Source organism: Homo sapiens, chromosome 3, assembly GCF_000001405.40.
Source record: "Homo sapiens chromosome 3, GRCh38.p14 Primary Assembly".
NCBI classification, from domain to species: Eukaryota; Metazoa; Chordata; class Mammalia; order Primates; family Hominidae; genus Homo; species Homo sapiens.
Window position 1 is genome coordinate 145189768 of NC_000003.12, and position 16443 is coordinate 145206210.

The window sequence follows — 16443 nt, forward strand, 5'->3', positions numbered from 1 at the left end:
TGTCTAGCTAATCATCAACTACCTCTCAACCATATGGGTGCTTATAGCAGTATTCTAAGTTTATGTAATCTTCTTAGCAGAATGAAAGCAGGCCAATATTGCAGGCTAATTCAGGACAGTGCTGCTTTTGGAAATATTTATCGATGCTTGTGCTTTGAATACCTGTTATTTTTTAAAGGGTGTATTAGTTTCCTCTGACTACTATAACAAACCACCACAAATGTTGTGGGTTAAAGCCACAGAACTTCATTTTCTCTTAGTTCTGGAGGCCAGAAGTCTGCAATCTATACTACTGAACAAAAATCACATTGTTATCAGGGCTGCAATCTCTCCAGAAACACTAGGGGAGAAGCCATTCTTTGCCTTTTCCATCTTCTGGTGGCTGCCAGCATTTCTTGGCTGCTGGCTATATCATACTAATCTTCAAAATGAGCATCTTTAAATCTATCTGCCTTGTCAAATCTCCCCATACCTCTCTGTTTTGAAGACAAATGTGATTGCATTCATAATCCACCTGGATCATCTAGGATAACCACCCCATTTCAAGATCCTTACTCATGTCCCAAAGACTTTGCCTTATATGGTCACATACACAGGTACCAGAGGCTAAGACATAAATATTTGGGGTGGGGGAGGGGAATCATTTTTTATCCTACCACCAATAGTAATGGAGAAAATTCTTAGAATTTTTGGCTTTTCAACTTAGACTGCTTTTTTTTTTTTTTTTTTGACGGACTTTTGCTCTTTTTGCGCAGGCTGGAGTGCAATGGCCCAATCTCAATTCACTGCAACCTCTGCCTCCTGGGTTCAAGCTATTCTCCTGCCTCAGCCTCCCGACTAGCTAGGATTACAGGCATGTACCACCATGCCCGGCTAATTTTGTATTTTTAGTAGAGACAGTGTTTCTCCATGTTGGTCAGGCTGGTCCTGAACTCCCGACCTCATGTCATCCGTCTGCCTCGGCCTCCCAAAGTGCTGCGATTACAGACATGAGGCACTTTGCCTGGCCTAGACTACTATTAAACAAATGTGTTAACTTTATGATTCTGGAAAATGTTGAAGTTTTCATTTTATTCTTACTGTTAGCACTCAACATAATGTCAGGATATTTCTGCATGGTGAAAATCTTCACATGCTAAGATATCTCAATGTCTGATTCTCTGAATATGAATTTGAAGAAACATCTATTCACATAGTTCTTTCCAATAAGCAATTTGAGCTTCAAAGACAGCTGAGACACTGCTAAATTTGTCCATCTTTAGAACAGAAACACTGTAACTGTTAGGTTATAAAATTGTATCAGATCTAGAGAAAAATCTCTTTGAATTATTTAACTTCACAAATGTTGAAAGTCTAGCAATGTGTTCTCAAAAACACGTTACATAAACAACTCTATTAGAGCTACAAGTCATAGGATAAAGCACTCAGCATAACGGTTGTTTTTTTTGTTTTCTCTTTATAAACATCATTGACACTTCTATGGAAGTAACTAGAAAGTCAGTATAAAATTCTGTTTCACAGATTCACAAAATATTTTTCTGTCATATCATGGAAATACCTAAATGTCTCTAATATACAAGATTTAATTCATGCATTCTGATTTATTCTTGTAGGTGAAGAATTGATAACTGTATGTGTTGAGAGGCAAAATGGAAAAATATAACATTAATATTGTGCCATGGGCTGTTCACTTATGATCTTTTGTGAGAATCTAAGAATTGAGACTGAAATCTGTACTTTCTACTGATTGCCACATGATTTCAGACTCATTAGAGTAGTATTTTGGTAGATGATATCCTAACAAAATTAGCAGTGGTATATTCTTGGCAATATGTAAATGTTTTAATTAAACTTCATTTTGAATAAGACTTTTCTTACCTACTCCATTTTTAATGCATAAAAGATAACAGCTGTGGACACTGGCATACAATACAGCCCTTTCCGGTGAGGAAGATAAGGGCTCCAAACACAATTACCTCTTTGCTGTCTAAGCAGTGACTCACCTTCACAGAGTTCAGTGTCCTATTTGTACAGTGGAAATGGTAGAAAAATTAAACATGATCTAAATGCAAATGATTTAGCATGCATCCTATCTGACATATTGATATTGTAGGAGCCAGTTAATGTTAGTGTCCTTCTGTTTATGTCCCTAAAGTTGTTTAACTAATGAATTATGTGGATCTTAAAATCAACCTTAGCTCCAATTTCTACTGGGGAATTCAAAGAACTGAAAAGATCACCAACCAGTCATAAAAAAAAAGAAAGAAACAAAAGAAGTTACAAATTGTAAACCTTTTTTTGAACTCATTAAATAGATAGGATAACCTGTAATCTTGAGGAGACTGGTTCAATAGTGAGCGAGGGATGCAAGTATTTGCTTACTCAAAATAATGTAGCTGGATATTAATAAGAAGAATTGAGCTAGAAGAATTAAAGAACTAGTGAAGTTTGAAGGCAGGCCATTGTGAGAATGTGAAAAGTTGAGTACTCTCTTTCAGGCTATCCCCAATTACACCATCAGAGAATAATAGGAGAATCCTGAAAAAGTTGCATACTTAGTGCCAGCCTTGGGAAAGGGGAATAGCAGCAACTGAGTAAGAGACAGAAAACTTCTCCCTGTCCTTTATCTCTTACCTCCTCAAAGCAAGGGAGCCCCAGTTTTCTGGGAAAATGTCAGTAAAAATTGGTGTCTTTGTGGTAGCTGAAACATGAAAACAAACAAACAAAAAATACCATTATCCCTGAGAAAACGGAAGGAATATTAACTGGGTCCAGACACAGAGTTGGAAGAGGGTCAGAGACACTTGGTAAGTTTTCACTTTCAAGAAAGCAGAACAAATTACCTGCTTAAAATTGAGGCTTAATCAAAATATACCCCTCTCCCATCTCTACCACCAGTCAAGAAAGCATCAACTAAAATTAACAGTACAATACTGCTCTGATAGTGGCAAGAGAGAGACTGTCTCTGAGGCATAACACAAAGGAAAAATCTAATGCTAAGATAGAACAGACATTGAGAAAATATTATGGCCAAGCAATGAATACAATGTATTGCTAGAGCAATTTGAAGCCTGTAATACAATGAGGGTGAGAATAGTGACATTAAACCTCAAAGATAACCCAACTCCTTTACAAGAATGATGCAAATCTTCACACTAAAGTCATAGCAGATGAAAAGATGAGACCATTTGTTAAGCCATAAACCTACTTACTTCTTTTTTACTGTCTTAAACAAAATGTACAACAAGAAAATGACAAGGTATCTTTGGGAGAAATAAAATAACTAGGTAATATGTTGAAGACTGTAATGAAAAAGGTGAACAATATGTAAGAACAGATGGGCAATTTCAGCAGAAGGAATCAAAAGGTAATTACAGGAATAAAACACAGTAACCATAATGAAGAATGCTTTCAATGGGCTCTTCAAATAGCAACAATTTAATGTACATTTATGTAGAATATATAAAAATAAAATATATATAAACAATAGTGAAATAATGAGAAGGAGGTAGCAGGACTATATTATGAGAGAATTTCACTACAAGTGGAGAAGTATGATGTTATTTGAAGGTAGCTCTGTTCAACAAAAATGCATAAGTAAACATTAATTAATAAATTGTTATTAATAATAAACATATATGAGATAAAATGGAGTCATAATAATTCAAAATGCAGAAATGGAGGATAAAAATCCTATGAACAGATAAATAAATAGAAAGGAGCAAGCAATGTTGTAGATTTTAATCAAAATATATCAATTATCACGTTAAATGTGAAAGATCTAAAGAGACAAATTAAGGATAGAAAACTGTCAGAATGGACCATAAAATGCACAATCAACTATATGTTGTATACTAAGTATCTACTTTAATTATAAATGCATAGATTAGTTTGCAGCAAAGGGATGGGAAAAGATATATTATGCAATCCCAACCAAAAGACAGCCAAAGTAGTTACATTGATATCAGACACAGTAGACTTCAGAACCAAGAACATTTTCAATGGAACAATCTATCAGAGGAATACACATAATGATAAATGAAGTCTCTTTTTTAAGAAAAAAAATAATAATTATAAACAAGCAAGTACCTAACAGCAGTTCTTCAAAATACATAGCATTATAACTCATAAAACTCAGAGGAGAAATAAACAAATCTACAATAGTACTTGAAGTCTTCAACATGGCTATTTCAATAAAGACTAATGTTATATAGCGAGAAAAAAAGTAATCCTTACTGGGTGTAGAGAACAAGGAGAAGGAAAGGGTTGACTACAAAGAAGTATGACAAAAAAATAGGGATTAAAACTAGCAGAGTTAGCAATTCTGAAACTAATTCATCTATATAGTAAGGTTTTTTAAAATAAGTAAATGTGTAATAGGTGACAGCCAGATTTCTCATTGTCAGAGGAAGAAGTTACAAATAAGGAAAAAGAGAAGACTAGAACGTGCCAGAAAGGAGACATATCCTTTCAGATTTCTAATTATTGGGGTTGGATTCAGAAATGATTAGCCATGAGTCATCAACACATTTTAAACACTTAGCTCTCATTTAAGAAGGAAACGCTTTGGCAGGGCACAATGGCTCATACCTGTAATCCCAGCACTTTGGGACGCCAAGGCAGGCAGATCACCTGAGGGCGGGAGTTCAAGACCAGCGTGACCAACATGGGGAAACCGCGTCTCTACTAAAAATACAAAATTAGCCTGGAATGGTGGCACATGCCTGTAATCCCAGCTACTTGGGAGCCTGAGGCAGGAGGATTGTTTGGACCCGGAAGGTGGAGGTTGTGGTGAGCCAAGATCGCACCGTTGCACTCCCAGCCTGGGCAACAAGAGTGGAACTCCATCTCAAAAAAAAAAAAAAAAAAAAAAAATGAAAAGCTTTGTCCTCTTCATTTTTCCTTTTTTCTTTTTTTCTTACATTTCAACTTTTAGATACGAGGGTACATGTGTAGATTTGTTTTATGAGAACATTGTGGGATGCTGAGGTTTTGAGTACAGATTCCATCATCACTTTGGTAGTGAGAAAGTACCTGGTACATAGGTTTTTACTCCATTCCCTCTTCCTTCACTATATAGTAGTGTCCATTATTGTTCCTATATTTATTTCCATGTGTGTTCCTATCTTTATTTCCATGTGTGTTCAATACTTAGTTCCCACTTATAAGTGAGAACACTCTTTTTTAAAAAATAATGAACAGAAGAGACTTGTATGTCTTATTTTCATATTTCATAGGCAACTTGATTACTCTAAATTTAGATTGGATAAAAGCATGAGGTTAAAGTCAAAGGAAGTCTCACACTATAACCAAAACAAATGAACTAGATAGATAGTAAAAGTATTTCCAGAATGATATTATAAGATTACTTTGGTTGGATTTTACAAGGTATTTTTTAGGTTCTTTCTTTCATCAAACATCCTGAAACACTTAACTAATACAAAACTGCCTCCGCAAAGCCATCATAATTCTTACACTCCCTTCTTGTTCCCTGAGAAACAAAAAGTATCTGAATATTTGTGTTGGAAATTATGTTTTTGTTGTATAGTTCTGTGTCCATTTCCAATAAAGATTTTTTTAATTACTGACTTTGTATTTTATTTAATGACTTGTATTACGGAAGAGAAATATAAGAATTTGTAAATTACAAATATGCTAATTTTCCATGTTGAAACTTACCTTTCAAAAAAGTCAGCATATTCACTTATATATGCAGTCATGAATTCACAAACATAGAAAAGACTTTGCATCAATTACTGCAGTTCACTAGTAATTGCTTCACTTGATAGATATAATTTACCATCCATCAGCAGTTGTAGCATTTACATTTTAATGTAATCCTTGAAGCGATAAATACATCCTTAATCAGGGTTAATGTAATACAATTACAAAATAAACATTTGATTAGTACATTTAAATTTCAATGTAATAAGTAACTACCAAGTTAATTAGTAAGGAAAGTGAATTTGATGCAGGTCTTTAGTTGAGGTAATTTAATATTATACAGAAGACTGGAGCTCATGCTGGGGGATGCTGTTTGTTTTTTATTTTTATTTTTTGAGAAACTCTATGAATAAAATTATTAATTAAAATTTGAAAGAAAATCAGAAAAACAAGTTTTCTTGGGATTATTTTTTTCTTCTAAATGTGCCATTCTTCAATATAAAATAAACAAAATATCTAATAACAATTTATTCAGAAATAATTCAAACATACAGATAATGAAGGCTAATAACTGAATCTAATAATAACAGGCAGGCGACATCTAAATACGTGATGGAGCCAATAAATGTTTACCTTTACATAATGTCACATACATTAATGTTTATTCTTCCCTGTCACTCTAAACTTTCTTTACCCAACACCGCTCTTTTGGAGGATTCATCTGTGGGTTACTTTATCTAAAAGCTCTCTGCCAATTCTTACCTCCCAAATAATGCCCATATTCCTTTCCTATATTGTTTGTTCATATTGATTTTAAGGAAATTCAAAACAAGATGAGATAATTGGGTAATTGGAAAGTGAGATGAAATTTATGATTAGTTTTTTTTTCTTGCTAATAATAGGGAACAACAACAACAAAAATGAGGAGGATTATTGAAAGTCTTTTATGTTCCACTGTGTTGTCAAAATATTGTCTAAGTTAGCATGTGGCATTAATAAATTGAACGCAAATGCTCTATTCTAAAAAAAATAGTTAAAATATTTTTGAAAAACTTACTGTGGACTAACCCACATTTTTAGAGATGCATTGATACAGCTCAAAATAAAATTTTCTTCACAGACTCTAAAACAGAGGAAAAAATGTGAAAGGAAATTATAAATATTTCAGTTTTTTTTGCTTTTACAAAATAATAAACATTATTTAATATTTTAGCTATTTCTCAACTAAAAATGATCTCCTAGGGAAGTGAAGCAAGATGACTTAATGGAACCCTTCAGTAATCATTGCCACAGCAGGAACACGAAAGTGAACAACTATCCACACAAGAAAGCACCTTCATAAAAACCAAAAATAAGATGAGTGATCACAGTACCTGATTTTACCATCATATCAAGAAAAGATGCACTGAGGAGGGTAGAAAAAACAGTCTTGAATTGCCATCACCACCCTTCCCCTCTGTCCCCCATCCCCCAACTCCCCACAGCAGCCACAATGCACAGAGAGGGAATTCACATCCCTGACATGCCTGGGAGAGGGAGAGTGTGGTGATTGTGGGACCTTGCACCGGAACTCATCACTGCCCTTTCACAGCAGAAAGCAACACAGGGCAAAATTAAGGTGGCACTTACAGAGTGAGAATTTAGGCTAGCCTTTGTCAGAGGAGAATCATCCATCACAGTGGTTAGAACTTGAGTTCTGGCTAGCCACACCACTATGGGATAAAGTGCTCTGGGGTTCTAAATAAACTTGAAAGACAGTCTAGGTGACAAGGACTGCAACTGCTAGGCAAGTCCTGGTTGTTCTGGGCTCAGTGCCAGTGACCTTGGAGAGCATATAACCTACTAAGACATGAGCTGGGGCAGCCAAGGGAGTGCTTATGTCACTCCTCCCCCAACGCCAGGCAAAACAGGTTGAAGCTCCTGAGAGAGACTCCTTCCTTCCACTTGGGAAGAGGGGAGGGGAGGGTAAGGAGCACTTCTTGCAACTCAGATATTAGCTCAGCCACAGCACAACAAAGCAAGAAGTAGACTCATAAAGTTTCTAACTCCAGGACCTAGCTGCCAGACAGCATTTCTAGACCCATCCTGGGCCAGAAGGGAACTTGCTGCCATGAAGCAAAAGACACAAGCTGGGCTAGATTCACCACTTGCAGATTAAAAGCCCCTTGACCTTGAATAAACATTAGCAGTAACCAGGCAACAGTCACCACAGGCCTTGGGCCAAATTCTATATTATGCTGGCTTCAGGTCTGACCCATAACAGTTACAATGGTGATGGCCAAAAGGGTACTTTGTCTTCCCTCCCCCAACTCCAGGTAGCTCAGCATGGAGAGAGACACCCCATTTATTTGGGAGTAAACTAAAAGAAGAGAACAAGAGCCTCTGCCTGATAATCCAGGGAATTCTCCTAGATCTTACCTAAGACCCCCAAGGTGGAAGTTCTACAAGAGAAACAGCATAACTGCCCTTTGGGTGTCGCCTAATGCAGATACAGCTTCAGTGACTAAATAGTTAGATTACAACACTCAATTCTCTTTGAATACTTGGAAAGCCTTCACAAGAAGTATGGATACAAACAAATCTACACTGTGAAGATTAAAATAAACACCTCATTCTTCAATGCCCAGACATCAGCAAATATCCATAAGCATTAAGACCATCCAGGAAAACCAACCCTCAACAAAAAACTAAATAAGGCACCAGTGATCAATCCCAGAATGACAGAGATGTAAACTTTCACACAGAGAATTCAAAACAACTGCCTTGAGGAAACTCAGTGATCTTCAGGATAACACAGAGAAGGAATTCAGAGTCCTATTAGACAAATTTAACAGAGATTGAAATAATTTTAAAATGAAGTAGAAATTCTAGAGCTGAAAGATGCAATTAACATGCTAAAGAATGCATCAGAGTCTCTCAATAGCAGAACTGGTCAAGCAGAAGAATGAATTAGTAAGTTTGAATACAGGTTATTTGAAAATACACAGTAAGAGGGGACAGAAAAAAAAGAATAAAAAAGAATAAAACACACCTACAAGATCTAGAAAATATGCTCACAAGGGCAAATCTAAATTATTGGCCTTAAAGAGGAGGTAAAGAGAGAGATAATGGTAGAAGGTTTATTAAAAGGGAAGCAAGAACTTCTCAAGCCTAGAGAAAGGTATCAATATACAAGTATAAGATAATTATAGAACACTAGGCAGATTTAAATGAAAGTAGACTACCTCAAGAATTTTAATGGTCAAACTCCCAAATGTCAAGGATAAATAAAAGATCATAAGGCAGCAAGAGAAAAGAAACAAATAAAAAACAAAAGAGCTCCAATATGTCTGGCCGCAGACTTATCTATAGAAACTTCAGAAGCCAGGAGAGAGTGACATGGCATATTTAAAGTACTGAAGAAAAAAACAACAAAAAAACCCCTTTTAATTCTGGAATAGTATATGCAGTGAAAATATCCTTCAAACTTGGAGAGATACTTTCTCAGACAAACAAAAACTGAGCAATCTCATCAACACTAGAACTGTTCCACAAGAAATACTAAAAAGAGTTATTCAATCTGAAAGTAAGGGATGTTAATGAGCAATAAGAAACATATGAAGGTACAAAACTCACTGATAATAATAAGCACACTGACAAGTAGAGAATATTACAACACTGTAATTATGTTGTGTAAACTACTCATATCTTCATTAGGGATATTTTTCAAAAAAAACTGGCAATTTTTCAAGATATAGATGGTATAATCAGATAAATAGACAAAAAATAAAAATCAGGGGAAATAAAGTTAAAGTGTAGTTTTTATTACTTTTCTAACTGCTTGTTTGTTTCTTTTTGCAGTGTTGTCACCAGTTTACCATAAGGAGTTATAAGCTGTTTTTTCAAACCTCATGGTAACCTCAAACCAAAAACCTACAATATATATACATAAAAAATACAAAAAATAAGATATACTACCAGAAAAAATCATCTTCATAAAAAGTAAGACAAGAAGGAAAGAAGGAAGAGAAGACTCAAAACAACCAGAAAATAAATACCAGAATGGCAGTAGTAAATCTTGATCAATAATTACATTAAGTGTAAATGGGTCAAACTCTCCAATCAAAAGTCACAGATTGGCTGAATGGATAAAAATAAAATTTCAACTATATGCTACTTACAAGAAACACACTTCACCTATGAAGACACATGTAGACTAATAATAAATAGGTGGAAAAAAATACTCCATGCAAATGGAAACCAAAAAGTGCAGGAGTAGCTAAACTTATATCAGATAAAATCAATTTTTAATATAAAAACAATAAAAAGAGACAACATTATTACATATTAATATAAGGGTCAATTCAGCAAGAGACTATAACAATTTAATAGCCACCCAACACTGAACCACCAAGATATATAAAGCAAATATTATTAAAGTTAAAGAGAGAGATAGACCTCAGTACAAAAATAGCTGGAGACTTCAACATCTACTTTTCAGCATTGGACAGATCATCCAAACAGAAAGTCAACAAAGAAACAGTGGACTTAAACTGCACTATAGACCAAATGGACCTAATATATATTTACAGGACTTTTCATCCAATGGCTGTAGAATAAACATTCTTCTCATCATGTGGAGCATTCTAATGGATAGACCATATGTTAGACCACAAAACCAGTCTTAAACATTCAAATATATTGAAATAATATCAAATGCCTTCTCTGACCACAATGGAATAAAACTACAAATCAATAAAAACAGATACTTTGGAAACTATACCTACACATGGAAATTAAAAAATATGCTCCTGAATGACCTGAATGTCAATAAAGAAATAAAGAAGACCATTTAAAAAAATTGTAACACAAACTATAATAGAAACATAGCATACCAAAATGTACAGGACACAACAAAAACAGTACTAAGAGAGACTTTTATAGCTATAATAAATAACCTAATGATGCATCTTAAAGAGCTAGAAAAGCAAGAGCAAGTCAAACACAAAATTAGAAGAAAAGAATTAACAAATATCAGCAGAAATAAATGAAATTAAAATTTAAAAAACCCCAAAAGATCAACAAAAAAAAATTTTGTTTTTTGGAAAGATAAAAATTAAAAAAAAAAAAAAACTTAGCCAGACTAAGAAAAAGAAAAGAAGACCCAGATAAATAAAATCAGAGAGGATAGAGGAGACATTATAATTGATACCACAGCAATTCAGAAGGTTATTAGAGAATACTATGAGAAACTATATGCCAATAAATTTAAAAATCTAGAAGAAATGGATCCATTTCCAGACACATGCAAACTACCAAGATTGAAATGTGAAGAAATCCAAAACCTGAATAGACCAATAACAAGTCATGAGATCAAAATCATAATAAAAGTCTCCTAGAAAAGCAAAGCCTGGGAGCTGATGACTGCACTGATAAATTTTACCAAACATTTAAAGAACTGATACCAATCCTCCTCGAAGTATTCTGAAAAACAGAGGAAGAGGGAATACTAGAAGCTTATTTTATGAAGCCAATGTGAGCCTCACAGCCTGATACCAAAACCAGAAAATGACACACCAAATAAATAAATAAAACTACAGGCCAATATCTCTGATAAACATTGATGCAAAAATCCTCAATAAAAGTACTAGCTAACTGAATTCAGCAACACCTTAATAAGATCACTCCTCATGACCAGGTGGGATTTATCCCAGGGATGCGAGGATGGTTTAATATACACTAATCAATCTATATGATACATCGTGTCAACAAAATGAAGGACAAAACCCACATGATTATTGCAATTGATGCTAAAAAAGCAAAGGATAAAATTCGCATCCGTTCATAACAAAAACTCTCAAAAACTAGGTAAAGAAGAAACATACCTCAACACAATACTTTTCATATTAGATTCACTTCATTTGGTTATAGCCTTCTTAGGGCTCTGGTTATTCACAACTTCTGGGTGTCATTACAAGAGAAAGGTTAGTGAAAGTAAATATAGGGTCTCAGTGCTCTAGTTGGTCCACATTCCTTAACAGATATTCATTACCTTGGTATTCTACTGGTTCCCTCTTCCACTTAGCTGGCACTTCTGCTAATTCCAATGGCTTGTCTGTTGAGTTGGACCAAATCCTCATTCCCAAAGTGTTTAAAGACCAAGTTAGAATGTAATTATCAATTTATAGGATCTGTTCTTGTTCATTTACTAATAAAAATTTTTATGGAAGAATAAAAATTACCTCAAGGGATCACTTGAATGTCATACATAATGTCAACTGCGCCATAATGTAGAAGCAATACAAACGCAATACAAACTCTTTATAATGATCAGGGTAATTTAATTCTGCCAGACTGGTAGGCCATTGCTCTAATTTCTGTCCTACTGGCATGGGGAGCCGAATGCGATCAGGCAGTAGCAAAGTTTGTTTTGTGGGTGTCTTCTCTCTGATCCTTGATATAAGCTTTCTCTCTCTCTGAAAACCTGGGACCCTAGATTAATGCACCTGGAATTGCAGAGATGGGAAGCACATATACTTCTCCAGAGTCACTGGGGCCACTCCAGTTACCTCTTGGTTCCTGTTTCCTATATTTTGGAACAGGATTACATTGACAACACAGTATTACATAATGACCACTGTTTTAGGATATTGCTAAACCCTCAACACATTTTGTTCAGAGTATTATTTTCAAGCTGTCACCTCAACTATATCTTCCAGAGGCTGTTCATCATAAGGCTGGCAGCTTCTAGAATACTGCACTATGTAGTAGAGTCAATAATTCCCATGTTTATGTTTTCAATGCCATACTTGCTTTAGTGTGAAGTAATATTATTCAAGAACTCATATCATTTGAAGAGATATTTTATGAGTCCTTGCAAATTAGTGTTTGCTGAGACACTGTAGGAAGCAGAGGTATATAATAACTGCAATATATATCAACTCACATATTTATACGATGTATTTCAAAAGATTCAAGTATTCTTTATTCCTCATTGTGTAACTACCAAAATAAATAGAATAATTAACCACAATGACTTTAAGTCCCTTTCTGGAAAAAGTCAGGTAATTTATACTGTATACAATTGCTATAGTGTTGTGGAGAACTTTTTCATGGGTAGCTGGGGTGTCTCTTTTTATGGGTATATTCTGAATCTGAGAATTGATGCAGGTTTTCAAACTGAGCAAAGGACTGTAAATTTTCATTAGAGAAGATAGAACCTTCTGCTCATCCATTCTTCATCTCATCTGATTATAAATATTAAACAATACTCCTGTTTTTACCCCCATCTGCTTGTCCGCTTAAAAAAATTAGCCATATTCACAGATTTCCTGAAGACCAAGTTACCATGAGTAACATGTTGAACATTTTGTTTTCATGGTAATTATTTCTATCTTACTTTTGATGCTTAGCTGTCAGTTGGATGGAGAGATTGAGGAGCACTGAGGGAAAATAAGATCTTTTTTAGGAAGTCAAGGAGCCTTTATGCTATCTGAAACTTAAGAAATTAACAGATTATTCAGTCTTGGAAATTTAATTAACAGGATTTCTCTCAAGAATAAAAACAAGTTAGTAAAGAGGTTACTTGAAATCTTTATTGAGTTTATATTTTCAGTTGAGTGAGAGGTATTGTTATATACTGTGGAAACACGCTGAAAATTTCATGTAAAGTATTTTTATTTTCTATTTTGGTTCATTACCATTTATAAATAATTTTTTCTTAAGTAGTTTACAGTATCTTATAAACCATACACATACACAAATATCTGTCTAAGAGAGAAAGATAAATAAGCCAGTAGTTTATATGTTTCATGAGTAATGTCATATTCTGATACCTGAGAAAATACCATTATTAAAGTTATTTATAACAAATTATTTTATCTCTATAGAAGTTGTAATTTTTAAACTTTTAAATAGAAAAATAATGTTTATATTTATGTGGAAATGATACATCGATAGCGTAAATATTGTGTTTTACTATGTAAGTCCTTAAAAGCAAATGTAGTCAAACACTTTAGCTTCAGGTCATGTTTGCAAAAATATTTGCATTTTTCATTATGTAGGTTTTTGAATTTTCAAGTATCAGGTTGTCACTATTCAAATGTTTTCTCTATGCAAAAAAAAAATTTCTTATTTTTCTCCTTCATATTGCTAAGGTTTTTACACTCCAAAGATAAAATTTCAATAGGCAGAATATGTCTGTCAACTGAAAGTTATACATTAGATTTGAATCTGAATTTAAAAATCCGTACGACTTGTTAGGCAAAAGCCTGTTAGATCTCTGTTTCTGTAGAAGATAAAGGAAAATGAGAAGGAATATATATATACAGAATAAAGTTTAGTCTAATAATTCATTTCTCCAGTTTGAATTTTTAAAAATATGCCTGGCAAGCTATTGAAAAACATGCATATACTTGTTTCAGAGTTATCTTAGAATTAGCTATCTGTTTTCACTGTTAGAGGGTGAATATAAGCAAATTCATGCAAAATATGGTGCAGATAGCATCATATAGACATATATACATATATAATAGTCTCTCATTAAATGTAAGTTTTATTTAAATTTAAATTTTACTCTTTATTTAAGATCTAGATTTATGAGCATTTAAATAGTTATTGTTATTCATAAAATGTGTGCTTCCTAATGAAAAGAAAACCAAATTTGGGGGAAAAGATAAAAAGCAAATTCTAACATAGCATTTAAATTCATGAGGTATAGAAATGGAGAAATGATGATGATTGATGATAAACTATGAGACGGAAAGAAATTACTAAGCCCTAGAAATCTAATTCTAAAATTATACAACAGTAGTAAAGGGAAAAAAGATTTTCAAGGTTACGGCATTCCAAAGTTTTATTAAAGAAAAGTGTAGTGGATTATATTACCAAAAATTACTTTTTAGATATCAAAATGCACTTGAAGTAGATTCATACATATTTATTTTATATTGAAATTTAAATATGTCATTCATGGAAAGCAGTTATATATCTGCTGAAAAAGCTAGGAAAAGTCAAATGTTGCAATCTGTCAGGTCTTTCAAACAGGTACTAGAAACAACAACTTTAAACAAGGGTAACCTATGGAGATTCTCCACTGAGAGAAGATACAGTTGCTTCTTACATTTCATTCATTCCTAAGGCCTTCCAACAAGCAGAAATCACACACCGTTGTGGAGGTCTATTAATTTAGATTGAGCAGAGGACTTTAGTAATGATCTTCTGTAGACTTGGCTTGTGATACTGTGGAAGTCATTTCACCTCTCTGGAAATCAGTTTCCTGTTGTGTAAAACCGAAGGTGTTCAACTAAATGACCTCAAATGTGGGCATAATATTAAAAAATTATACTAAATATATGAGAAAGCTTCTGAAGCGTACGAAAAAAATTCAAACTATTGGTGTGAAAAACTTTACTGTAAATGTCTTCTAAAAAGTGAAATGCAATATTGAACTTACTTAACATGTGGACAGTTCATCTAATGCTTGACCAAATGATCCTGAATACCTTGTATATCCTTACAGACTAAATGGTGCTAGAGGTTACATGGGGTCCATTCTCCATGCAGGTAAATCTTTGCTCTCTAAAACTATCTCCGATATTGGAACACGTGTGTCTGGAATTTATTCCTTCTGGTGGGTTCTTGGTCTCACTGACCTCAAGAATGAAGCCGTGGACCTTCGTGGTGAGTGTTACAGCTCATAAAGGTAGTGCAGACCCAAAGAGTGAGCAGCAGTAAGATTTATTGTGAAGAGCAAAAGGACGAAGCTTCTGCAGCGTGGAAGGGGACCCGAGCAGGTTGCTGCTGCTGGTTGGGGTGGCCAGCTTTTATTCCCTTATTTGGCCCTGTCCATGTTCTGCTGATTGGTCCATTTTACAGAGCGCTGATTGGTGCATTTTTACAGAGTGCTGATTGGTGCATTTACAATCCTTTAGCTATACACAGAGTGCTGAATGCTGTGTTTTTACAGAGTGCTGATTGGTACATTTACAATCCTCTAGCTAGACAGAAAAGTTCTCCAAGTCCCCACTCGACCCAGGAAATCCAGCTGGCTTCACCTCTCACTTGGACCAGAACCAGGCTGTCATACTTATCAGTTTGCAAGCCTTTTTTTTTTTTTTTTATCATTTATCTGTGTTTGTTCACTAGATGTGTTACCAAGTAGAGATTATGCCCTTGACTACTATTTGTTTATTCATTATTCTCTATCATATTCTGCTCAAGGCTATAAATAATTTAATAAATAAAGTCAAATCACATTACTGTTCCTTCCTCCCCACACAAACATGTATTAATTTACTCTTCTGTGAGCTTATGTTATTTTTATTGCTTAGAATTACAAACTCCATACCCATTTAAATTCTGCCCATTCTTAGAAACTCAACACAAACCAGTGTATTACAAGCATGATTATTAGAGGTACACCCACACGTGCATACACACAGTCTCTCTCTCTAAATAGAGCACTTTTTATATATTTTCTATTTCCTTTATATTCACCCCAACACTTATTATTTAAAATTTTGTCTAGGCTCTTGTTAAATGATATCTCACATTTGATCTGATTTGCATCATTTTAATACTTATGTTTTGCATTTCTAAACTGCCTAATTCATGTCATTGGATAATTAATACTAAATTTCATAATATTTTTCTTATTGGTTTACAAGAGTTTTTCATTTTTTGCTAGTTTTATACATTGTAAATATTATCATACAATCATTAACCTAGAAAAACACATCTTACTTTGTGTTTTACCTTTGACATTCAAATCATTATTCTGTGTAATACTTATTTTAAATA